Raw genomic sequence first — 27,242 nt, forward strand, 5'->3', positions numbered from 1 at the left:
CACAAAAAAATAGTCCTGCAAGGTTATCTGCCCAGCAACTGCCTGTCCAACCTCGGACAAGTGCCACCCTTATTGATTCTCACGGCCAAGGATAATTATATATTTAAAAAAATTATGTGATCCTCTTCATTTTTCCTTTAAAAACTTTTGTCCTCCTTTAGTTCTCTGAATATGCACCTGTTGGTATGCATATTCCCATTACAATAACTATTTTTCTTTTCTTTTTTTTTTTTTTTTTTTTTTTGGAGACAGAGTCTCCCTGTGTCAGCCAGGCTGGAGTGCAATGGCGCAAATCTCGGCTCACTGCAACCTCTGCCTTCTGGGTGCAAGTGATTCTCCTGCCTCAGCCTCCTGAGTGGCTGGGATTACAGGCACACACCACCACGCCCAGCTAATTTTTGTATTTTTAGTAGAGATGGGGTTTCACCGTATTGGCCAGGCTGGTCTCGAACTCCTGATCTCAGGTGATCCGCCCACCTTGGCCTCCCAAAGTGCTGGGATTACAGGCATGAGCCCCATGCCCGGTGCAATAACTATTCTTAAATAAATATCACTTTCTTTTAGAGAGTCTCCCTCTCCGTTATTTAGGTTGACAGCATGTAGGTACCCAGCAAGCTACAACATGAGGCAGCAAGTGGCTTGTGTCAGAAAACTGGGAAAGAGACGAATGAAGTAGGGAAGACCTTCTGTAGCTAAGGCAACCAAGAAGGGCAGCAGAGCGAAGGCGCACCCTGCACCTGCCAGGACACTGTCCATCCAGCAGGGCGTGTTGCTCTTTCCAATTTCCTTTGCATTTGTATACATTTTGTATAGATCTGGGCTTACAGACAGTTCTAAGGAAGACAGCTTTTCTATATTCTACAGATGTTGCCAACAGCTTTAAAGAAATTACTCCCACAGAGAACAAAAAAATAAATGAATAAGGCAGGTTATGTTTGGTGTTTCTAAAAAGAAATCATAGACTGTGGTGCCTGTAATCCCAGCACTGTGGGAGGCTGAGGCGGGAGGATCACTTGTGCCTAGGAGTTGAAGACCAGCCTGGGCAACAAAGTGAGACTCTCATCTCTACCAAATTAAAAAAAAAAAAATTAGCCAGGCGTGGTGGCATGTGCCTGTAGTCCCAGCTACTTGGGAGGCTAAGGCTGGGAGGACTGCTTGAGTCTGAGAGTTCAAGTTTGCAGTGAGCTGTGACTGCACCACTGTACTCCAGGCCAGATAAGAGTGAGACCCTGTTTCAAAAAAAAAAAAAAAAGGAAAAGAAAGGAACAGGGAGAAGGAAGGAAAAAGTGAATGTAAGGGGAAAGGGAAGGGGAGGGGAGGGGAGGGGAGTGAGGGAAGAAGGAAGGAGTGAAAGAAGGAAGGGAAGGGAAGGAAGGGAAAAAAAGGAAAGAAACAAGAAAAAGAAAGAAAGAAAGGAAAGAAAGAAAAAAAAGAAAGAAGAAAAATAAAGAAAAGAAAGAAATAAATCATAATGCCACTGTCATGTTCAAAATTGTTACGCTTTTAGGGAGATAGTATTTTATTATCTTCTGCCAGGGGGAACTGCAGAGGGTAACTGAGTGTTAAAAAAAATCACTGAGGCTAATCCAAATGTCTGCTTGACGAGGCTTTTGTGGAGCAAGGAGAGGCTTGGTGACCAGACACCTGGCGAAATGGCACTGATCCTGATATGATCCAGTGGTGCTACTCGGTGTGGCCAGGTGATTGATGGAGGGAACTCAGACCAGTTTCCAAGGTTGCCCCACCTCCCACACCACTGTCTTACAAACTTCATGTTCTGCTTTCAAGACTTTTGCCATATCCACATTCCATCTCTATTATTATTTACTTAATATTTTTCTCTAAACGTACTCGTGTTTGAAGTTAAGTGTGCTCATTATGTTTCTTCTAATAATCATTAAAGCAAATATATAATCATTCGAATGAAACAGGTCCATTTTGTGTACCAGTGCGTTGAGCACCACAAGGATACAACTATCACACCTTGGGAAACAATGATTTACATTAAAAACCACAAGTATTGGCCACTGTATCTGGAATAATACCTTGGAATAATAGCAAGAACCTCAGATATTTGTTTCTAAAACTAGACTATACATTGCATTAGCTGTAGCAGGATAATGTGGGGACACCCCTGGCATGCCATGCCTAGCTGACCCTTTTGCATTTCATCATGACGGCTCTTCAACTTTTTTTTTTTTTTTGAGACGGAGTCTCACTGTGTGGCCCAGGCTGGAGTGCAGCGGCGCGATCTCGGCTCACTACAACCTCCGCCTCCCGGGTTCAAGCGATTCTCCTGCCTCAGTCTCCGAGTAGCTGGAACTACAGGTGCCCACCACACCCAGCTAATTTTTGTATCTTTAGTAGAGACGGGGTTTCGCCATGTTGGCCAGGCTGGTCTCCAACTACTGGCCTCAAGTGCTCTGCCCATCTCGGCCTCTCGAAGTGCTGGGATTACAGGCGTGAGCCACCACGCCTGGCCTGCTCTTAAATTTTTACCCTCTGTTTAAGTTTCCAACCCAGCTCCTACCCTCACTTCCAGATGCTCTTACCTCTGATGTCAGGGAAAAAATAAAGACACGAGGCCTCTCTTCCTCCCCTTCTGTCTGTCCATTTGTCCCTGTGTGTCCTTCCTGAGTTAGGGAAGGAGGGGTCCTGTTTCTTTCTAAAGCCACTGTCTGTAGTCAGCCTCTCCTCCAGGGCCCCTCCCTTTCCTTCACGCTTCTATGTTCACTCTTCGCCATTTCCTTCTTAGCCCATAAACATTGCTAAGTGTCCCTCCTATCCCACTGTTTGAAACCAACCAACAAGCACACTTCTCCAACCCTGCCCCCTCCTCAGCACCGCCTGCCTTTGGTCTCATTGGCAAATGTCACTAGAGGGGTTTACACCCATGGCCAACTCTCGCTAGCTTTCCCTGTCACATCTCCACTCGGGATTCTGGTTTCTGCCCCACTGCCCGACACTGCTCTCGGGAAGGTATCGATGACCTTGGCATTGCCAAGTTCAGTGACCTCTTCTGAGCTTGCACCCTCCCCTGCCGGCCCACAGCACAGGCGCCTTGGATGGGAGGCTTTTTTGGAGACTTGAGTCTGCCTTTCTCAGCCCTTGAGCCTCTCCTCTTCTTGGTGTTTCCTTCTGTCTTCTGCCTCTTGCCTGCTGCCTGGCTCTCTGCTCCCCCCAGTCCAGCAAATGCCAAAATAGGCTCCTGATGCTCCTGTCCTGTGCGGTCAGATGAATCCAGACAATGCTGCAGGCTGTATATCTCACTCGCAGGGCCCCAGTGCACATTAGCCTATTAGGCAGTGAGAAACTCTGTGCTACAGAAAAATTTGATGAGCTCAGGGTTCCCAACACGTATTTGACCACAGAATCCTCTTTTTTTGAGAGGAGGGAGGGTAACATCTTTTTTGTCCTGAGAAAAGTCCTGATGAACTGAGGAATTCGGGTTTTATGGATAGGATACACCCCTTTGCCACTCTCTATACCTGCATTGTCAATAGAGTAGCCCTTAGCAAGCTGTGACCGCTGAACACATGCAGTGTTTCCATGGTACTGGTTTGTATCTGTCTTTTAACATTACACATCGTCTAACTGGTGCTGTTGTTAATCTGTGTAGTTACGGTGTCAGTGGCTCTGACTGCAGACCAGGGACTGTGTCTAACACATTTCTGTAATAGCAAGCTGAGCACAGCGTGTTGGCTACCTGCAGTCAGGGAATATTTGTTAGGGGATAGAATATTGTGTTGGTCCTAGGCCTGTTTGTGCCCAGGTCCATTTCTCACCTTTTCCCTGTTCTGCTCTGGGCTGCAAAAAAGCCAATCCTGCAGGCTGTTTTTTCTAAGCTTCTGTTCTATTTGGCCTCTGCCTGGGTTTGGCCAATGAGAGGAAACTCTGGCAGGAGACTGAATGTTACAGGGTGGAGTAGGAAAAATGTCCTCTCTCCAGAAGAGTGACATGATTAAAAAGTTTTTTGTCTGTTAAGTAATGAATGGAAATGCTGGGCTTGCATCTTACACAAACTTGGAGTTCAAGAATTCAGATGAATTAACACAAAAATTGGCCAGGTATGGTGGCTCACACCTGTAATCCAAGCACTTTGGGAGGCCGAGGTGGGCAGATCACTTGAGGTCAGGAGTTCTATTAGCGGTAAATGTGCTCAGACTTTGTCTGAAAATGTATTTATTTCTCTGTCATCCATGAATTAGATTTCTAGCTGGACAGTTATTTTTTCTCTGTGTTGTGTGTTATGTGCAGCCAGTCTAATTGCTGTTCATGTGGTTATTCTGGTTTTTCTTGGTGCTCACTTGAGGTCTGAGCACAAAGGAATCAATATTACTGTAGAAAAATGTTTACTGAATGTAGCTGGAAAATTACACATTTAACATTATTTTCAGATATTTCACTTTAAAGAAAAAGAACTTCCTAATCTCCCCAGGTAGCCTCCTCTGTTATTTTACTGGACCTATTGCTAACATTTAGTAGAGATGAAACCCCATCTCTATTAAAAATACAAAAATTAGCCAGGGGTGGTGGCGTCTGCCTGTAGTCCCAGCTACTTGGGAGGCTGAGGCAGGAGAATCACTTGAACCTGGGAGGCAGAGGCTGCAGTGAGCTGAGATCGTGTCACTGCACTCCAGCCTGGGCGATACAGCAAGACTCCATCTCAAAAAAAGAAAAAGAAAAACAAAAAACAACACAAAAATTGGTCACTAGCTGGTGATACCCTTAGGGTGACTGGCCAAAGGAATGGTGCAACTGGCCTGGAGGGTCACACTCACAACTGTGGCTCCATGAGATTCCACAGAAAAACCAAGTCTCATTAAAGATGAGCTCAAAGTAAAAAAAAAAAAAAAAAAATTACAAAAAACGGGAAAAATCCACCATAAATTGAAAAATGAGGATTAGAACACCAAGAACATATGACAGTAGAACAAAAATACACATGGAGATGTAAAATATATATGTTTAACATTACTCAAGACACATAATGAAGGGCTTGAAGCCATAGGTAGTCTATTAAAAGAAAGAATAAGGAGAGTTGAAAAAGAATAAAAATGGCAAATATTGTCATGGAAATGATAAATTAATAGATTAAATAGCAGATTAAACACATCCTAGGAATTAGTAAACCTAAAAACAGATGTGAAGAATTATTTAGAATGTAGCCCAGAAAGAAACAGAGATGGAAGGCTGGGCATGGTGGCTCACACCTGTAATCTGAGCACTTTGGGAGGCCAAGGCGGGTGGATCACCTGAGGTCAAGAGTTCAAGACCAGCCTGGCCAACAGGGTGAACCGTCTCTACTAAAAATACAAAAAATTAGCGGGGCATGGTGGCGGGTGCCTGTAATCCCAGCTACTCAGGAGGCTGAGGCAGGAGAATTGCTTGAACCTGGGAGGCAGAGGTTGTTGTGAGCCAAGATCGTGCCATTGCACTAAAAAAAGAAAAAAAAGATGGAAAACATAAAACGGAAGTTAAGAGACACAGAGGACAGAATGACAAGGCCCAACATACATCTGACAGGTAGTCCAGGAGAAGGGAATAGAAAGAATTGAGAGAGGTAATATTGAGATTATAATGGCTGAGACTTTTCTAGAATTGAAGAATGATACAATGCCTCAAATTCAGAACAATGGCTTCTGATTAGGAAAAAAATAAATCCATACCAGAACACCAAGGAGGGAAGAAAAAACATGATTAAACAGTCAGAAAGAAAAATCAGAATAACCACATGAACAGCAATTAGACTGGCTGCACATAACACACAACACAGAGAAAAAAATAACTGTCCAGCTAAAAATCTAAATCACAGATGACAGAGAAATAAACACATTTTCAGACAAAGTCTGAGCGCATTTACCACTAATAGACATGACTGGAAAAACTATTAAAAGACGTATTTCAGGAAGAAGGAAATTACATAAGAAGGAAAAAGAAAAGAGATATGAGAAATGGTGAGCCAAAATACTAGTAAATGTGTAAGAAATCAAAATAATCATTGACTGTATAAAACAACAATAATACTAAGTTGGCAGGTATAAATACAAGGTGAAGTTAAAACACAAAAATGTAATAACATGAAAGACATAAGAGAATCATTAGAGATAAATCATCCTCCTTGCATTGATCAGCAGAAGGAAGAGATATTGATCAAAGGCAAACAGGTATGTTAAAAATGGAAAGGTAACCACTCAAAGAACAGACATAGACTACATAATTTCCCAACCAGTAGAGGGCAATAAAAGAAACAAAGAAACTTGATCAGTGCGACAGAAGTCCCTGTGTCAGCAGAACAAAAAGGGGCAAAGAAAATGCCTGGTAAATAGAAAATACATAATAAAATAGATACAAATAAAAGTATTAAATTGTTTTAATCAATGTAAATGGCTTAAATCTGTCAGTGAAAAGAGAGGCTCTGGATTAAAAATCAGGTCATAGAAGTGTTGGAAGTAGTGGGCTAGAAAAAGCTATCCAAATAAAAATTCTAAAAGCAACTGGGGAGGTTTTATTACAACAGACAAATTAGGCTTTAAGGACCCGTATGAGATGGTAGAAACATTCACCAGGAAGAAGAATAATTCTGATCTTATTTGCAACTAACAGGAAAGCCTCAAAGTGTAAAATAAAAAAACAACTAACAGGAAAGCCTCAAAGTGTAAAATAAAAAACTAAGACCCATACCCCACCTCCCTCCAAAAAAAAGAAAAAACTGACATATCTATAATCGTAGTAGAGTTTAATATAGTTCTCTCAATGAAAATTAATGAGAATATGAAAGATTTGAACACTATTAACAAGGTTAACATATGAACACACATACAAGAGACTATACATTCTTTTTCCATAGAACCAGGCTGGGCGTGCTGGCTCACTCACGCCTGTAATCCCAGCACTTTGGGAGGTCGAGGTGGGCAGATCACTTGAGGTCAGGAGTTCGAGCCCAGCCTGGCTAACATGGCGAAACCCCATCTCTATTAAAAACGCAAAAATTAGCTGAGTGTGGTGACAGGCGCCTGTAATCCCAACTACTCAGGAGGCTGAGGTGCGAGAATCACTTGAACCCAGGAGGCAGAGGTTGTAGTGAGCCAAGATTGTGCCACTGCACTCTAGCCTGGGTGACAGAGTAAGACACTGTCTCAACAACAACACAAAGAACCCACAGAACCAATTTCAACAAACACCAAGGAATCAATATTACTGTAGAAAAATGTTTACTGAATGTAGCTGGAAAATTATACATTTAACATTATTTTCAGATATTTCACTTTAAAGAAAAAGAACTTCCTAATCTCCCCAGGTAGCCTCCTCCGTTATTTTACTTGACCTATCGCTAACATCTGTGATTGCTGATGACTCGATCCTCATGAGATCCTTTTTCACTCGTCTTCCAGGTCACCACCTCTCCTCTCCTCATATCCTCCCACCTCACTGGTCTGCCCTTCCACGGCTCCTTTGCTCGTTCCTCCTCAACTCTCCAGACTTCTAATGTCGCAGTGCCCTAAGATTCAGTCCTTGGAACTTTCCTCGACATACTCAGAGCCTTGGTGACCCAGTTCATTCTCATGGCTTATTTATGTACTGATAGGCTCCCAAATTTACACTCCAGCCTGAACATCTTCCCTGAACTTCTTCACACGTTCTGCTGTATACTCAGTATCCCCATTCAGATGTCTAAAAGGCACATCAAAGTAACATCAAAAGCCAAACCCCTAATCATCTCCCAACCTGCTCCTCTATAATTTTCCACCTCAGTGGATGGCAATATCATCTCTCCAGCTGCTCACGCCACCTGATACTTCTCACACTTCACATTCAATCCACCTGTGGGATCCCTCTTCACAATACATCCAGACCACTTCTCACACGTCCCCCATGGCTGTTCTGATCCAAGTTATCATCATCTTGTGCTTGGATTACTGAAGTAGCTTTCCAATGGATCTCCTGGCTTCTGATCCCTTCCCCTCTTTAATCTGGCAAGGCAGAGCAGTACTGTTAAAACACACCAGATCATGTCACTCCTTTCATTAAAACCCTTGGCTGGGTGCGGTGGCTCACGCCTGTAATCCCAGCACTTTGGGAGGCCGAGGTGGGTGGATCACCTGAGGTCAAGAGTTGGAGACCAGCCTGGCCAACATGGTGGAACCCCGTCTCTACTAAAAATATAAAAATTAGCTGGGCATGGTGGTGGGCACTTGTAATCCCATCTACTTGGGAGGCCGAGGCTGGAGAATTGCTTGAACCCAGGAGGCAGAGGTTGCAGTGACCGGAGATCATGCCATTGCACTCCAGCCTGGGCGACAAGAGTGAAACTCCATCTCAAAAAAAAGAAATAAAAATAAAAATAATAAAAACCCTCCAATGGGTTCTTCTCACTCCAAACAAAAGCCAAAGTTTATAAATAGCCCACAAGAACCTAAACAACCTCCTTCATTTCCTAGGTCACACCCAGACCCTCGCTTCCTCCTTCTCTCCTGCTCTTCCCTCTTCCCACCGCACAGGCCTCCGCACTATTCCTCAGGCACCACAGGATGCTCCTGCTGCAGGGATTTTGCAGGTGCAAAATCTGCCCAGAATGATCTTCCAGATATCCGCATGGCTCCCTCCAGATATCCTCACACCCCTCCAGTCTCTGCCTGCCGTCACTATCTCAGAGAGGTTTTATCTGAGTATTTTATTCAAAATAAAATCCCTCTGGATCCACCTCCCTTGCAGAACTCCCATTCCTCTTCCCTGCTTCATTTTTCTAAGATGCTACACACTTCACATTCTCATTTTGTTCGTTTTCTGTTTTAGCCTACTCAAACACCAGCTCCAAGATGGCAGAAATTTTTGTCTTATAATTTGCCACATCCCCAGTGTCTGACACACAGGAGGGCTTCGATAAGCATTTATGGAATGTGATGTGAAGATACACTCTGAGCTTCAGGAGACAGTACAGCAGTGTTGACTACAGGCAGTCAGAGAAATTGATGAAAACTTCCTGGTAGGTCCTTTTTGGTAGACAAGAAGAGTGGGCAAAGAAGAAAGATGAGAGATCATGGCTACTATCAGGTTGATGTTCCCAGAGGAATAATTAGTAGTGGGCTGGGCCACAAGACCCACCCCCACACTGTGGGAGGATGTGGAGACTGAGAGACAAGTTATGAATCATAGGTATGTCGCACCATAGTTGGGAAGCACTATTCCAAGTTACAGTGCAAGCAAGAATAAGAAGCAAACAAGAGATGCCTAAGAAAGGAGAGGGGAAAGATCTGGGCAGATTCCAGGAGGTAAAGGACAAAAGACAATCTGTGATGACGAACACAGAGAGTGCTTGTTCAGATTATGTCACAAGTCCCACAAAAGTCCTTGCCCATTTGGAGGGGAGCAGTGCCGGTGAACAATGCTATTCTCTGTGTGCCCACTTATGCGGCCAGAGTATCACATAATGGTTTCCAGTTATACTGTAGTTAAGCTCAGTGAAAAGATGAGATTTTTAACAGTAAATCTAGATGAATAAACTGCATTTTCTGAAGGCTGCCTTTTTATTGAAGTTTTATCAGGACACTAGAAAGTTACAAGATATTTTATGTTGTAAAAGAATAGCTTTTCATCCACTTGGCAAATATTTATTGAGTACCGGGTAGCATGCTTCCACCACAAAGATATTTGTTTTTACTTTTGGAAATTTAAATAATTACTGGACAAATTTCTAAATTCATGTCTTTTTGAGGCCTGTCAAGTTCTACTCCATTAGGAGCTATGTTGCTCCTGTAAGCACAAAAAGGAAAGAAGTTGAAATCATATTCTAATGTTGCAGACCATCAGAAAGCAAACTATTTGCCTATCAGAAAATAGTCATATTCTAGAATTTCCAAAAGCAACTATATTGACAAGTGCAACCAGATAAAGACAAATTTTATTGGTTTTATTTTTACTTTTGAATCTACTGTAAAAGGTCATAAGCCTAAGACAGCAATGACCTCCTAATGATAGACAAAAGCGCAGACCTGGCCCCAGAGAGCAGTTAGTTCAGGCTAAAATCTGCATTACCTTCTAACCTGCCAGACTTGTACCATGACTCAATTGAGGGAGTTAATGTGAGATGCAGGATATAGACTATTATAAAGAGATATGAAATAGTAGTTTCATCATGTTAGAACTTTCAATTCTAACAATAAAAATAACTATACCAATATGTGTATGATGATTTTCAAACCCTGATCAATCCTCCGAATAACTGATAACAGCTCTGACCCCTGCTCTATAAGTAAATAGATAATCTGAAGCTTAGTGGTGAAGAGACTTACCAGATAAATTAGAGCTACTACATATCTAAATCTAGGTAACTTGATTCAAGTCTTATACTTTCCAATGGCAGGCCATTTAAGATGATGCTTACACTGCAATTACTGGAGATTCCATGTATAAACCTACCAGGTCCTATGCTTGGTGAACTGAATTCTAAAGGCAAAAAAGGTTTAGGATAAATATTCTGAATGCCAATTAGCCCAAAGCAATGAAAAAGCAAACAAGGCCCTTACTCTAACTCTTTTTTATGTCTAAGTGATATAATTATTCCCTTACACACCCTTCTACTCTGTCACACACACAATTAGGACCTTGTATCTAATAGCCAGTTCCAAAGAGACTGTTCCATGCACTGTAGCACTTTGTATCAGTGCACTGATTACTACAGTTCTGTCCTTGGGCAATACGGGTTTCATATGCACATATATATTTTTTCTTAGTATTACTGAACAGCTTATTACACCATTAATCTCCCCCAATGGTATGTTCATATAACTCATGTTTTCCACTTGTTTATGACTACATACATAATTGGAGACTTTGCCCCAAATTGCTGAGTTTAGGACACACAAATTCTATAGCACTGGCTGACTCTGACTTCAGGTGGCTAATGGATGACCACCGGTGACACAGGGATCCCAGTGGCAGGTTCTTCGGTACCTTGGAATGTAACTTGACCAGCTTGGATTCATTTAAAGCAGTTAATTTTCTTTACCCTCCATCTTGCAATTAACTGATGACTGTTCTGCTTTTGTGGTTGGGAGTTAAGAGCAGCTCCCAGTTAATGGAAAGCAGCATGTGGGGGTGGCTAAGAGAATGAGTTCTGAAGTCAGATCTGGACTTGAGTTCCAACTCTACTACTTACTCAGACAACCCAAAGATTAGTTCATGACTTGGTACACAGCAAATATTTACTAAATGTTAGCTGTTATTTCTAGTATCTATTATGTGTCAGACATTAAACTTGTGCTTTACAAACCCCTTAAGCCTCATGTGCAATGTGGGTATTATTATTCTCACTTATACAGACCAGGCTAAGGCTCGGAGGGGTGAGCTAGCTGAGACAGGAATCAAAGCAATCCTCCCACTATACTTCCCACTACACTCATTTATCGTTCTCTTTGAAAGAGTAAGTGATTTTTGCCTTTTGACAAGCTTAAAACATCTCTCTTAAGAATGTCCTTCATAATTTGTTGTTCTTTAAAGCAAAGTTTAAAAAGTGATTCTAAAACTGATTCTAAAAGTTTATACGGAGAGGCAAAAGACCCAGAATAGCCAACAAAAAAATTAAAGGAGAAGAATAAAACTGAAGAACTGACACTACCTGACCTCAAGACTTACTAGAAAGCTGCAGTAATCAAGCCAGTGTGATACTGGCCAAAGAATACACAAATAGATCAATGAAACAGAATAGAGCCCAGAAATAGACCCATATAAATAGAGTCAACTGACCTTTGACAAAGGAGCAAAGGCAATACAATGGGGCAAAGATACTCTTTTCAACAAATGATGCTGGAACAACTGGCCATCCAAATGCGAAAAAAAAAAAAGAAATTGTCTTTAAAATGAAATATAGACACAGGTCTCTACTGTTCGCAAAAATCAACTCAAAATGCATCACAAACCTAAATCTGAAACACAAAACTATAAAGCTCCCAGAAAATAGTGTAAGCGAAAATCTAGATAACCTTGGGTTTAGTGATGACTCTTTAGATATGATACCAAAGACACAATCCATGAAAGAAAGAGTTGATAAGCTGGACTTCATTAAATGTAAACACTTTCATTCTGCAAAAGATGTGGTCAAGAGAATGAGAAGACAAGGCACAGACTGAAAAAAAATTTGCAAAAGACGTATCTGATAAAGAACTATTTTTCAAAATATGGAAAGGACTCTTTTAACAGTTCAACAATAAGAAAACAAATAAAAAAATGGGCCAAAGACCTTAACAGATGCCTCATGGAAAAAGATATGCAGATGGCAAATAAGCATATAAAAAGATGCTTTGCATCATACGTTGTTGGGAAAATGCAAATTAAAACAAAAATGAGATACCACTACACACCTGTTAGAATGGCCAGAATCTGTAACACTGACACCACCAAATGCTGGCAAGGATGTGGAACAACAGGAACTTTCATTCATTGCTGGAGGGAATGCAAAATGGTACAGCCACTTTGGAAGACAGTTTGCCATTTACAAACTAAACATACTCTTAAACCATATGATCCAGCAGCAATCACACACCTTGGTATTGATTCAAAGGAAATGAAAACTTATGTCCACAAAAAAGCCTGCACACAGATATTTGTAACAGCTTCATTCAGAATTGCCAAAACTTGGAAGGAATCACAATATCTTTCAGTGAGTGGATAACTGTGGTATACCCAGACAACGGAATATTATTTAGCACTAAAACGAAAGGATCAAGCCATGAAAAGATATGGAGGAAACTTACATGCCTATTACTAAGTAAAAGAAGCCAATCTGAAAAGGCTATGTACTGTGTGATTCCAATCATATGATATTCTGGGAAGGGCAAAACTATGGAGACAGTAAAAAGATCAGTGGTTGCCAGGGGATGGGAGGGAGGGAGAGCTGAACAGGTAGAGCACAGAAGATTTTTAGGGTAGTGAAAATACTCTGTATGATACTGTGATGGTAGCTGTATGTCATTACCCATTTGTACAATCCCACAGAATGCACAGCACCAAGACTGAACCCTAATGTAAACTACAGACTTTGATAATGACATGATGTAGGTGCATCAATTGTAACAAATGTACTGCTCTGGTGGGGGTTGTTGTTAATGGGGGAGGCTATGCCTGTGTCGGGGCAAGGGACATATGGGATATCTCTGTGTCTTCCTCTCAATTTTGCTGTGAACCTAAAACTACTCTAAAAAATGAAGTCTTTTAAAAAAGTGATTATGAAGACAAATAATTTTAAAACGGGCAAAGGATCTGAATAGACATATCTCCAAAGGAGGTATACAAATGGCCAACAAGCACATGAAAAGATGCCCAATATCATTAGTCATCAGGGAAATGCAAATCAAAACCACAGTGAGATGTCACTTTATGTCCACTGGATGGCTATAATAAAAGTCAGATAATAACAAGTGCCGGTGAGGATGTGGAGTAACAGAAAGCCCTGTACACTGCTGGCGGAAATAGAAAATGGTGCAGCCAGTGAGGCAGGTCCTCAACAAATTAAACATAGATTTGCCATTTGACCTGGGAATTCTACTCCTAGATATATATCCAAAAGAAACATGGACATATGTTCACACAAAAACTTGTAGACAAATGTTCACAGCAGTATTATTCACAATAGCCAAATGGTTGAAACAACCCAAATGTCCACTAAATAATGAATGAACAAAACGTGGCATATCCACACAATGGGATGTTAATTTGGCCATAAAAAGGAATGATGTACAGCTACATGCTACTACATGGATGAACCTTGAAAACATTATGCTAAGTGAAATAAGCCAATCACAAAATGCTACACATTTTATGATTCCATACATATGAAATGTTCAGAATAGACAAACATGGAGACAAAAGATTAGTGCCTGCTCAGGGCTGAAGGCTGGAGGGGGGCTTAGGGAAATGGGGGTGATAGCTAAATTGTACAGAGATTCATTTTGAGGTGATAAAAATGTCTTATAAGTGACTGTGGAAATGGTTGGACAACTTTGTTAATACACTAAAAACCACCAATTGCATGGCAAGTGAATTGTATCTCAATGAAGCTGTTACCAAAAAAAGTGATTACATTCAGCTTTATCCTTCTGGATACTATTGTCATAGAGTCTTGTCCTTGTTTATTATGTTCAGTCTTTGACTCCTTGACTCTTCTCTGTGTGTCCTTTTTACATAGAGAAAAGCCTGTGCAATCTCTGATTTTTCCTGTGTTTTTTTTTCTTTTTTTTTTTTTGGACATAGGGTCTCATTCTGTCACTCAGGCTGGAGTGCAGTGGTGTGATCTCAGCTCACTGCAGCCTCGATCTCCCAGGCTCAATTGAACTGCCTGCCTCAGCCTCCTGAGTAGCTAGGACTACAGGCGTGCAGCAGCACCACTCCCAGCTATCTATCTATCTATCTATCTTTTATTTTTTATTTTTTTTTGTAGAGACAGGTTTCACCAAGTTGCTCAGGCTGGCCTCAAACTCCTAGGCTCAGGTAATCACCCACCTTGGCCTCTCAAAAGTGCTGGGATTACAGGCATGAGCCACCATCCTGTTTTTGTTTCACTGGTATGAGTAACAGTTGTAGTGCCGAAGTTCATTATTAGGAGATGGTGGCAATATCAGCACACTAGTGTAGAGGCTAACAGCATGGACTTGGGAGCCAGACCATGGACCACCTCTACCGCTTACTAGCAGGTTCCACTTGGACAAATTATCTAATCTGTTTTAATTTCTGTATCTCAAAAAAGAAAACAATGAAGAGGTAATACATTCAAGGACCTTAGAAAAGTATCTAAACTAAGAAGTCCTCAAAAAAGAGCACTTTTCCTCTTTTATTTTTACTGGTGTGAGAGATGGTTGCAGAGCCAAAATTTCATTATTTTTTAAAAATCATGAAAATAGCAAAATAATCTCTTTCTCATATAACCTGTTTCCCATCTTTGTGAGTTCCTTTCACTATCCAACCCTTAACTGCTGATCTTCTAGGAGGTCTGATCTTCTTCCCAAGTAATCTCATCTACTTTCACTGGTTCAACAACTACCAATATGTATGTCATTCCACCAGGTGGTGTACATCTGATGTTGTCTATCTTATCTGACCACCTGCTTGACAACTCTATGTGGACATCCCATAGGTGCTCCAAACTCCTCTTCTTCCCCCAACTCTAATTCTTCACTGCAGTTGGTGGCACCATTATCCCATCCTGTCCCTCAAGACACAAATCTGGAAATAACTGACTTTTCCACCGACACTCATATTCCATCTATCTCCAGTTCCTGCCAATTTTCCCTCAGAACTCCGTTTCATCATTTTTTGCTCCACCTTGGGTGCATATCAGAATCATATGGGAGGCTTTGAAAGATCCCCACGATCAGGCCGAACTTCAATCCATTTAAATTAGGACCCTGGAAACTATAGATTTTTCAAGTTTCCCAAGTGATTCCAACATACAGCTGAGCTAGAGAATTTCTGACTTAGCCCTTGGCCTGCCTCTCAAGCCTCAACTTTTATAGTTCCTGGCTCTGTATTTCCATTCTGACGATACTGAAATGCTTATAATTACACTTCCCCACCATGCCATTTCTTGTCTTTATCATACACTCCACCATCCTACCCACCAAATCTGGCTTATTGCTACTTATCTTATGGACCTGGCAGTTGCTTCCTCCAGCAAGTCTCTCGTTCACCAATCTATGGCTGAATTTGGTATTCCTTCTCTGTAGTCCTTAAGTGCCTGGCAAATATCTATCACTGTGCTGAATATGCTGTTTTATAATTATCTGCATATGGGCCTAATCCCCTCAAAGAACTATGTACCACCTAAGACAATGGCCACTTGACACTCAGTTTTGTATCCCCAGCACCTGCTTAGCCTTATGTAAACACTTCATACATGTTAGTTGAATAAGTTTCCGGAGATGAGGAAAGGCTTTTTGGAAAGAGGTTGTTTGTGCTAGATGTTGACAGATGGACTGGATTTAGATCCATATCTTTCTTTCCACCCAAGGGCTTATACGACCACCAACATGATTAACTTTAACACTGCTTAACTTTGATACCTCCAAGCATTCACTGCTGTTTCTTTTACATAAACTCTTATTTTGTACTAAAAGTCTTACTCTACATTTGCAATGAGTATTAATTTGTAAGTTCCATCCAATCTTTTTAGAAAAAAGTTGCAGTAAAACTTATAAAAACACAAGTCTATTACCCTAGATTATGTTTTCCTTACTTTTGTGAGCAACAATGTATTAAAATCAAACTTTATTTCACTTTTGAGATACATATGATTATCTCCAATCAAATTATCTTCATCTTGACCACTTATACATTTATTTTGCCCCCTATGATATAAAACAATTTGCTGGCCTGTTCTCATGAGACTACATTAAGGAAAAAGAGACATTCCAAAGACATTTAATCATGACTAAATAAAAACAATTAAAAGTAAGTTTTAAAGAATGTTTCAAAAGAAATACACAATACAACTAATATAGTTTGTGTTCTTTTAATAAACACACTTGCATAGTTATATTACAATTTTGTAAAAATAAAAACAGATTATCTCATGCCAAGCGTGCCCAGCATTTGCACAATCTCAATACCTTTAATACTATAATTTTCAAGACACACAAAATAAAATTTTAAGGCAAAAACAGCACTTTGCAACAATTTAATAATTTATTACATTACAGTAGCATCACAGCAGCATTCAATAATGCCACTTTAGGCAAAAGTCTTTCAGTATTTCCATTATAGATTCTGTTTACAAGAATTCATAAACTGGTAAAAGTCATTCTAAGAAAACCTGGCAAATAAAGCTTTGGACTGGAATTGGTATTTCTTTCTCTACTTTTCTTTCCCCCAGTTTCTTTCTTTTAAACTACAGTATTTATATTTTAAAATGTTTTATTTCAAAACATTTAAATATCAGTTACATTTTTAATAGTTATATTATTTTAAAATGACTCTTTAAGATAAAGTTTTAGAGAAACTATATTATGGATAGGGCTGATTTACATTCTCAAATTTTCTAAAAATCAGCTTTGGTTTTAGAACTGATTTTTTTCATTTCTGGAAAACCTAAAAGGTTTAATCAAATAATTTAAAAGTGATTATTATACATTGCAATTGCAATCTTTAAACAGGTATTTTGATTCTTTACCTCCTACAGAAATTCAAATTTATTCAGTTGAACTCACATTTTAAAATTCTATGTTTCTGATGAACTCTAACCTTCTAATGTTGCCTTCTAAGCAAATTGAAAGCTGACTTATACTGAATGAGGAAGAGAACAAATACTTGGCTGAATGAGGTATTGCAAAAGACAGCATGCACTTTTAAGAAAGACTTAAGTTATTATGTCATATGATTTCCATTCTTTTTATCTTTTTCTTAAATACATGACAAAATACCTACACAAAGAGTGGTATTTCAGTTAATATAGTAAATTTATTTTCCAGACTGACATTCAGCTTAAATACGCCAGTATATGATTTAATCCATAGGTACCTGATGAACATATTATTTTCAGGTTGGTTACAGATGCTAAACGCTGTCTGAAGGTCATTCCCAGTAATTTATATTTATCAGTGTAAAAGTGAAGTGATTTGAACTATAAAAATACGTTTGAAATAATTCATCAATGTATTAGATAAACTCAGTTTCAGAATTATAAAGAAAAAACCTTAGACCAAATAATGTGGCTGATTAACAGTGGTATGATTTCTACCCCGAGGGTTTAAAAATGGATTTAAAGTAACTGTCTTTGAACTCAAAAGAATGCAAAAGCAGCAAGTTCAGAAAATAAAAGGCAAGAACAGGTAATTAATACAATTTGGGAGAGTCAGTTGAATTCACAAGGACCCAGTCTTTGCACTCTTTCAGTGAATGCAGGCAAATCTGTTATTCTATCTGTAAAATGAAATTATTGCTTTCCTATTAATGTCATATTTATAAAAGTATCATGAGGATGCCAAATGCTAAAAATAGAGGTGGTCTAGTAACTAGAAATTGCCACCCTAGGGAGCACACATACTTATCTCCCTACATCCTAATAATGTGATGTATTTTGGAACACAGACATTATAACTTTATGAAGTTTTAACTGTTGATTCTTTCCCAAGCATCATAAAGTTATGATTTAGGCAATGTATGACTGAAATAATTCATTCATAATGTATAGGCACATTAACATAAATATTGCACAAAATATGCCTCTAACTGAAACTGAGAGGTACAAAAACATATTTCACTCTTTGTAAATAACTTTGTGAGGAAATATGACTCTGTGATTGTATATACACTTTTCCTGATACTTTGACATTCACAAACAGTAGATTGCACTGCAGTTTGTAAACATTTTAAGTTGCATAAAATTCTCCTTGATTTTCAAATATAGTATAATACTGTCTACTAAAACTCCTTTTTGTATCAACTAAGTACTCTCACATATATTAGTTTATAATAATGTTTGTTATTATTTTTTAAAGTGTTTTCCATTCCAGGAAAAGAAGTAAATTCTTATGTCAAAGTAGCCAATATGGTTGAAGAACAGGTATTAGAGAAGTCTGATGGTAAAATCAATCTTAGAGCCTCAAAGAAGCTCCATGAACACAGAGGAATGCCAGGTGTTACACAGCTTTCCTTCACTCTAATTCATTCTTGACTAGAGCCCACATGTCTGTTTTGGGGACATTTAAACTCTTAAAGGATTTCTTATGATATTTACTAAATACATTAAGAAGAATGTCAACCAGTGCCCCTTTGTATACTGGGACATGTAGTCACCTGATTAAAACAGGTAACAATGAACTCTGACTTTAAAATGGATTAAGATATAAATGCTCTAAGCTAGGAAAGGTTTTTCCCATCTCACAGTCAATGATGGGAGCCTTTCATTCCTCAAAAATAATCCCTTTATAGGTCATCGAAAAAGAATACACACGCTGCAGCACATGATGCAGTACCTTCATTAGCCCAGAGCACATAAAGATCCTAAGCGAACTACCATAGGACAGTGCTCATTCTTGGGACTGGAACAAATGAAACACTGCACATACCTGCCAGAGCAGGCCACTTTCCTCTTCTCTGAGATTTAAAAAGCTCCCCCAAAATGTTGTTATTCCCATCCCAAATACACAGAAAACAGGGCATGGCTGTTTCCAGTTCTTGGCCTTTAAACAAATCTAAATGTCAGTACTCATAGTGGCATATTACAAAGTAATAAACAGTGCACACTTGAGGGCAAACCACATATTGAGCTAATTAAGAGCTCACTGTGATTAGGATTAGATCAAACATAATAGCAGAACATAAGCAAATTTTATCTGAATTCTGTAAATGAATACACATGTTGCAATAACATTAAAAAAGCATGGCAGCCTATTCCAAACCAGTAAGAATAGTTTGTGCAAATAGTGGGTCTTTGTGTGTTTGAACTCCCACCACATAAGGGCAAACTCAATATGCATGCTAATGACCTACAATTATCAAATTAAAAAAGAAGAAAAATGCTAAAGATGCCAGAGTGAACAGCAGGGAAAGCCACACAAAGACCCACTATCCTTTAACTTTTTACAAATAAATTTAAACTGTAAGTTAGAAACACAAAAAAATAATCACAAGTGGCTCTAACATTCAAACGAAGTAAACGAATTGTGTAGGAGATATTTGATCAGGGCTGCCTGCCCTGCCTCCACGCTAGAGTGAAACTTGGATAGTGGGTCTCTGGGGTGCTTTCACAACTGGAAGACAACATTGGGTCCTAAAAAAAGAAAATGAGGAATAAAATGAACATAATGCAAATTAGGTGGGTGAGATAAAATTTGACTAGTAACAACATGCAACATCAACTAAACAAATTTGAACTGTTAAAATTCTCTATCTTAAAAAAAGTTCTAATTATGTAACAAAATGAAAAATAATACTTAAAAGGGCCAAAGAAACACAAATGGTAATCTATAATTTAACTAGCTTTCATTGACTATTACAAGAACTACAAACAGGTGATTCATCTATAAAAAGCTGGGTAGGTACAACAAGGATCTCGTATCTATTCCTGACTTTAAGGATTAAGCATTTTCTGAACCATATCCTATTAAAATTATAGGTTTATATAAACAATGTGAGTTCATAGCTACCAACACAATTAACATTAATCTTCATCTTCTTTGAAAAAGCAATTATGATTCTTCAATTTCTGATAAATAATTACTTCAAGTAAACAAAATCGGTACGCCTCACTTTCCTAGATAATTTAAACAGTTGTTTTATAGAAACAATAAACCATCTCAGAGGAACCTCTTTAGAATTTATCCTTAGAATTACAGAATTGAGAGCCCTTTTATTCCAGGATAGATGACAAGCCTTTAGCCATTCATTTAGGCAAAACAATAAAAGTATTCAGTTTTTAGATCTGATTAAACTAAAAAAAACCCACATATACCCGCCAGAAACAAGGTAATAGGTAAGTTACTGGTAATAACTTTATAACAAAGAGAAATTCGAAACTACTCTTATTTTATAAAATAACCTCTTGAACATTTTGTTTTCCCAGCTGTCAGTATGTAAAATGACCAAGAAAATGATGAGTTCCTCCTTGCATCCCCAACATTTGCCCTTCCAGCAAACAATTAGTACTTATCCTTCATGTACCAGCTCAAATATCTTCTGTTGTATCTTTCACAACATGCCTTCTTTCTCCACAAAGATTTAGGGGGTCTTTTTCCAAAACATATTTGTATAAATATTCATTGCAGCAATTGTTATATTTATCTGAATGTTGTTCCCCACTAACCTCTAAAGCTACTTCAGAGAATGGATTGTCTTGTCTTGTTTGTATTCCCAGTACTCCTAGTCAGTACAGAGTAGACACTCAAGTAATACCAAATGATGAATTTCTTAAATGAACAGTGGGAAGAATGTTAACATAGAATCCAAAACCCCCCAAAAGAGTAAAACCTGAAACACATAGGAGCTATAAAATCATTGCGTAGGTCAATAATGACCGAAAGACGATTATTCTTTTTCTTCTTATTTTAATCTTTCAATATTTCCTTGTTTGTTTTGAGACAGGGTCTCACTCTGTTACCCAGGCTGGAGTACAGTGGCATGACCATGGCTCACTGCAGCCTCCCACCTCAGCCTCCCAGGCTGCTGGGACTATAGGGATATGCCACCACACTCAGCTAATTTTAAAAATTTTTCTGTAGAGATGAGGTCTCCCTATATTGACGATCAGTCTTCCTGCCTCGGCCTCCCAAAGTGTTGGGATTATAGGTGTGCGCCACTGTGCCCAGCCCTGCTATTTCCATGTTTTATTTCAGGGAGGGCTTGCATTACAATTGGTTGTCTTCTAGAGGCATGCTGTCTAATACAGGAGCCACAGGCCACAAGTGGCTATTTAGCTTAAAATTAAAGTTAAATTAAATTAAAAATTGAGTTTCTCAGTCGTATTAGCCACACTCCAAATAATCAAAAGTGACTAGTGGCCGCTGTATTGGAGAGTGGAGATATAGACTGTTTTCTGTATTGCATAAAATTCTACTGGATAGTGCTGTTTAGATTGGGTATCTCTCTCAACTACAGGCAGACTAAGGCTCTGCCAGTTCCACCTATACTAAAATAGCAGACGAAGCATTTTCTGGGCAAAAGTAATTTGCATGACAAATGTGTCCTTGAATAATAACTAACAGATGATATCAATCTATTTTCTGTATCATTAGTGTATTAAACATTTACTGACAACCAGAAACTATGCTGCTTCTTTTTGGAATAAAAAATTGTCACTCAATTAACTCTCTGGGAAAGTTACTTTTCTAGGAGACTGTTACTGCCTTGAAGTAGATTTCTCTAGAGTAATTTTTAAATTATCTGCAGAGGGGAAACTGAAAGGACCTTCATAAAATAGGCGGGGGAAAGGTATAAGACCTGGGGCCATGGTCCTGTCCTTCCTTTCAAACAGCTTTTATCTGTTCTTTATATTCCCTATTCTATGAGGCTTAATTGGAAAAAGTGTTTCAAACCACAACAACATATTCAGAAAACCATCACTTTAGATCATAGATGCTATAGAAGCCAAATGTACTGACACACCGGCATGCCTTCAGGGATCACTAGCCAAAGATCTTCCAAACCCAGTAGGTCTGAAAAGTCTTTTCCATTCTCAACACCAAGAAAGATGCCACAGCTAGTTAGATAAACTGGTTTCTAATTAATCATTGTGAACTGCCAAACCATCAGCAGAGCTTAAAAATGATCATTTATTAGGCAACCCAAGTTACAATTTTCTTTATCACTTCTGAAACCCTCCAATATTTTTGGGACTATTCAAATCACAAAAAACTGGATTCCTCCCATCTCCAAGTTGGGAAACTTAGTTGCTTTATGTAAAGGGAAGGTTTCTCCCAGGGTCAGAACTATCTTTATAAGCTCTAAAGTGAGAATGCACAAAATTATAGATATGGTATAAATTCATAATCCTTATACTGAATCATAAGTGTATCTGAGTTTTGTTTGGGTTACCTTTTATATATTCTCAGCAACTGAATTTAAATGAAAGGCTAAGTATTTTAAATTTCATAAGAGATATATCATGAGATATTTTAAAAATAAAACTAAAAATTAAAAGAGTGGGAAAAAGTGACAATCATTTCATAAAGGTAAAAAGTTATTTCCAAGTACTATTCATTCCCTAATTTATTACTAATGCTATATTTACTGTCAACCAAAAGAACGGCTAGATAAATACAGAGAGATAATTTTATATAGTACCAAACTTCACACTTCGAGATCTGGACCCTTGTTCTGAAAATAATGAAATAGACCTTGATTGATACATCCCTTGTGGAAAAAGGTGACTATCTAAAGAATCACCTGACAAGAATTTTGCAACAGTCAAATATTTAATTTTTAATTTTCTTCCAACATGGATGATATGTAAACAGCGAGAAATAAATGAGAAGGTTAGAAATGTAATGGCTTCTGTACACTAAAAGAGTAATTTTGAATAGGTGAATAGGGTAATTGCTGGCTACTTTTTTTTTTTTTTCTCTTGAGACAGGGTTTCACCTTGTTGCCCATGCTGGAGTGCAGTGTGTGTGATCATGACTTACTGCACTCTTAACCTCCCGGGTTCAAGAGATCTCCCACCTCAGCCTCCCAAGTAGCTGAAACTACAAGCACGTGCCACCACACCCAGCTAATTTTGCTATTTTTTGTCGAGATGGGGTTTCGCCATGTTGCCCAGGCTAGTCTCCAATTCCTGGGCTTAAGGGATCCTGCGTGCCTTGGCCTCCCAAAGTGCTGGGATTATGGGTGTGGGCCATTGCGCCCAGCCACTAGCTACTTTTTATTAAACCAAAAAAGAACATGGGACACTGAAAAAGAGGATGATAGTAAAAAGAAGCTGCAGTATAGATGGCAGTCATACCAAAGAACTCATAGGAAAAATTATATACTCTCAGATTAAGTCTAATACGAAAGTCTGGAGCTAGCAAGTATTTAAAATAAAGCTGTATAACTTCTGACCTTGTAAAAAGTTTCCTTTTGTTTCTTCTCACTTTAAACACTAATCTACATTTGCTGTGAGTGCTGAGTTTAAGATCTAATCCAGAAAAGGAATAAATGCAGTGCTGTATATTGAAGTTTCACACTAGGTGAGAGAAAAATAATTTAATATTACTCACACTGTTGACTTGGATCTGAGTCTGTCGTCATCTTAACGTAGTTTGAAGGAAAGAGACCAGTCACCCCGTTGATCTCTCCTTGCCACCAATCAGGATCATCTTTGTTCATAACATTAATGAGTTGTCCCTTGGAGAAACTGAGCTCATCTTCATTATTTGCTGCATAGTCATACATAGCAATCACCTGACATACTATCACAAGAATAACAAAATAACACATTAAACAAATTAATTATTCCTGCAAGGGTCAATCATTTGTAATCTCCCTAGGATTTAAATTATTTTAATATTAAATATTAAAATTAGGCTAAAATTTCCCTTGAACTGCTCTTTCTCACCCTCCTTCCCCTATTCCTGGTCTTACAAAAACAAGAATTTCCCAACTGCAGTTAACAATCCAAGTGAAGTACTTCACTTTAAGTATGATGGTGTAACAATTTCACATTGAAAGATTTCAAAGAGTCGAAGTGGTTCAAGTATCAGTGAATAAGCTGGCTGTTCCTACACTGAACTTTTCAGAAAGGAAATTCTCAGTGGCATGTCCCTTTTAAGCAGACATAAGGAAAGAACACATTTTTAATGTTTTCCAAAGATTGAGCTAATCTAAGAAGTTGCTGAGTTTTAACAAACTCCTCTAAAATGAAATACAAATTAACCCACTTCCATACCAGGATGAAAGGCAGGTGTGGCTCTTTCACTACTTGGACCCAAAAGTTTAACATGACTGGCAGGAAACCATCCTTTCTGTCGCTTTTTTCCTCTGGCCTAAAAATTAGCAAAAGAAATACATAATTGAAAGATGAGATTAAAAACAATCATTGAGACATAACTTAAAAATTAGAAAAACCATAAATGTGTAGTAAATAATTTAATTTTGCCTAAAGAGAGGTCTGGTTTTTGCCCTCAGCTCCTGGAAAGTAATCTCTAAATCCTTGGACTATCCTGACTGGTCAGAGTGTCTTAGTTTACCTGTGGGTACTGGGTCATGCCAAATCTAACAATGTGATGTGCTTTGGGTCATGCAGTATCAGCTCTACCTTGGTAGGGGATGGAGACTGAGTTCAGAAAAACGGGCAATCAACTGTATCTATGTGAGGAACCCCAGTCAAAACTGCACACCAAGGCTTTGCTGACTGGCAATACTCTGTGTGTATTGTCACACATCATTGCCAGGAGGAGTTAATACTGTTCATGACTCTGCCAGGAGAGGACAACTGGAAGCTCTGTTTTTGGAACTCTACTGCACTCTGCCCCATGTGTCTCTTCCCTTGGCTGACTTTAATCTGTATCCTTTCATTGCAATAAACTGCAACATGAGTGTAATAGCTGTAGTGAGTTCTGTAAAGTCCTTCTAGTGACTTACAGAACTTGAGAGTAGTCTTGAAGACCCCCAAATTTGGAATTGGTTTCAAATATGAGCATGATCTTGGGGGCCTCGAACTCAGCATTAGCCTTTCAAGTAAACATTAAACAACTGGAAGACACACTAAAACATGCATCTCAAACTACTGCTGAAAACAGCATCTGAAGAAGTCTATGTGGAGGTCTTTCAGGCTCAGAGTTCTCGGAATATTTCACAAAAATATTTATATTCTAAAAAGACATTTCTAGAGTTCTCCTAACCCTTAAAATGGTGCAGCCGACTACAAATACTTCTTGGAGCTTTGTTAATCATTAATCAGGAGGTCAGAAGTAAAATTTGTAAAGAGTCATGTTTCCCACTTAGTTCGGTCCATCTTCAAAGTAAATCAGAAGGTGGAATTTCAGGGGGTTATTCAAGAAGGTATTAAATTTGAACCCCCATTTTTCTTCAGGAATCCTAAGACTCCTGATTTGCAAGAATGAAGCTATGTTTATCCTCCATACTACAATTATATATCACTCATATAAAAATATAGCTATTATATCTCTTGTCATCTTTTAATCCCTAAAATGCTTTTTAGTTTTAACTAGTAAGGAAATAATAGAAGTGAGAGAAGAACCCTTTTCCTGTATCAAAACATATGCAATAACCATCTATTAACGTTTTAGGGAAAAAAAAAAGGTTCATCTATGTCTGTATTGTCTTTAATTGCACTGCTGTTTCAAAAACCTAAGACCACTAGCGGACAGCCCAATTAGTAGTATTTTCTCAGCACACCATCTAGATTATGTCTTTCTCCTAGAGGCTATACTGCAAGCCTGGGACTATCCCAGGGAAAGATGATGCTGTTTCTTTAAGAACATGATCTGTGAATTATAAAGGAATGCATTATTGGAAAACAATTATGTCTTTGGAGAAAATTATTCCTTAAATTGTTACTTATAACATCAACTCAACTGTGCTAAAAATGTACACACAAGAGACTAAAGGAAATATAATGCAGTAAAATATTGATATTGATTACCTCTAAGTGGAATGATTATGGGTGATCTAAAAATTTTTATTAATTTTATCTTTTTTATGGAGCATGCAGTACTTTTATAATAAAATTTATAGATGCTATTTAAAGAATATTACCTGTAACTCTCCTTGCCACCACCCACTTGTATTTTTCTTTAGAATTAATATTAACTGTCCTGGTGCAAGGCTAAGTTGTTCAGAACCAGAAGCAACATATGCTGAAGTTACCTGAGCAATCTCTGAAAAGACAAAGAAGAAACTATGAATTCAAGATTGCGACAGAGCAAACACGTTAGTAATTTTTTAAGATCACTACTATACGTACCAGGTTTTTTATTTGATGCTCCAGACTTGCTAGCACTCCCAAAACTCTACAAGGAAAAGATACCGTGTTGTTTTATTATTTCCAACAATCCAAATGTAAAAGTATAAAGGTTAATGGGAATTAGAGATTTCAAATTCCCAGGATTCTTTTCTCTTTAAATGAAGATGAAAATGACAATGAACCTCATGCAGTATTAACAAATAAGTGAAAAATCCAACACTTATGAGGAGATCTGGTCTGCTAATGTAATACATTATATACGAGTGGCTGTCATCGTCAACCATTGACTCAACAGGAAGAGCTCGTTTTCTGAAACCTAAATATTAAACATGACCCTCCAGGCCAAATGCACTCCATTTATCAATGGCGTTAGCACCAATGCCCACTATGCACAACATATGTGTCCTGGATATGTCAAGGTATACGTTATTTTGCTCCTGCTTTCTCTAAGGGATCCTGACTTATCTATGGATCTTGATGAACAGGAGACAATGTTTTTATTTTTATTTATTTTACCATCCTCCCCCCAAACTGACTGAATCTGACCTAAGAACAAAAAATCCCTATCCTGTGTAGCAACTATTACTTCTGTTTCACTTTAAAGGATAAACTGGCCCAACCACATTTCCTCTTTATAGGAATTTGAACAACAAAAGGGATGGGATTAAAAAGAATTTTGTTCTGTTAGTGAACATAGCTGCAGTACAAGTATTAAGCAGAGTGGATGGTAGTTAAAAGCTAACATTTTCTGAGTACTGTATAACAGACACTGCTCTAAGAGGTTCCATATATTCTGCTATTTAATTTTCACAATAACACTATTAAGTAATTATGATTATCCCCATTTTACAGA

General features: G+C 38.6%; 1 protein-coding gene across 25 annotated transcripts in view; it reads right to left on the minus strand.

Moving 5' to 3' along the window:
- The window catches only part of ITSN2 (intersectin 2), a 158,505-nt gene that overhangs the window by 19,584 nt on the left and 111,679 nt on the right, over positions 1 to 27,242 (minus strand). For 17 of the 25 annotated variants that reach the window (XM_047444586.1, XM_047444582.1, NM_001348182.2 and 14 more), the window contains 4 exons: positions 26,390 to 26,435; positions 26,182 to 26,303; positions 24,350 to 24,446; positions 23,682 to 23,873 (listed from right to left, as the gene is read on the minus strand). In XM_047444586.1, the coding sequence (XP_047300542.1) occupies positions 23,682 to 23,873; positions 24,350 to 24,446; positions 26,182 to 26,303; positions 26,390 to 26,435 (457 nt within the window). Of the gene's footprint in view, positions 1 to 16,485; positions 19,760 to 23,681; positions 23,874 to 24,349; positions 24,447 to 26,181; positions 26,304 to 26,389; positions 26,436 to 27,242 lie in introns of those variants that run through there. The other 8 variants (XM_047444590.1, XM_047444591.1, NM_001348186.2 and 5 more) reach the window with 1 other exon arrangement.

This window comes from Homo sapiens, chromosome 2 (assembly GCF_000001405.40).
Source record: "Homo sapiens chromosome 2, GRCh38.p14 Primary Assembly".
Taxonomy (NCBI): Eukaryota; Metazoa; Chordata; class Mammalia; order Primates; family Hominidae; genus Homo; species Homo sapiens.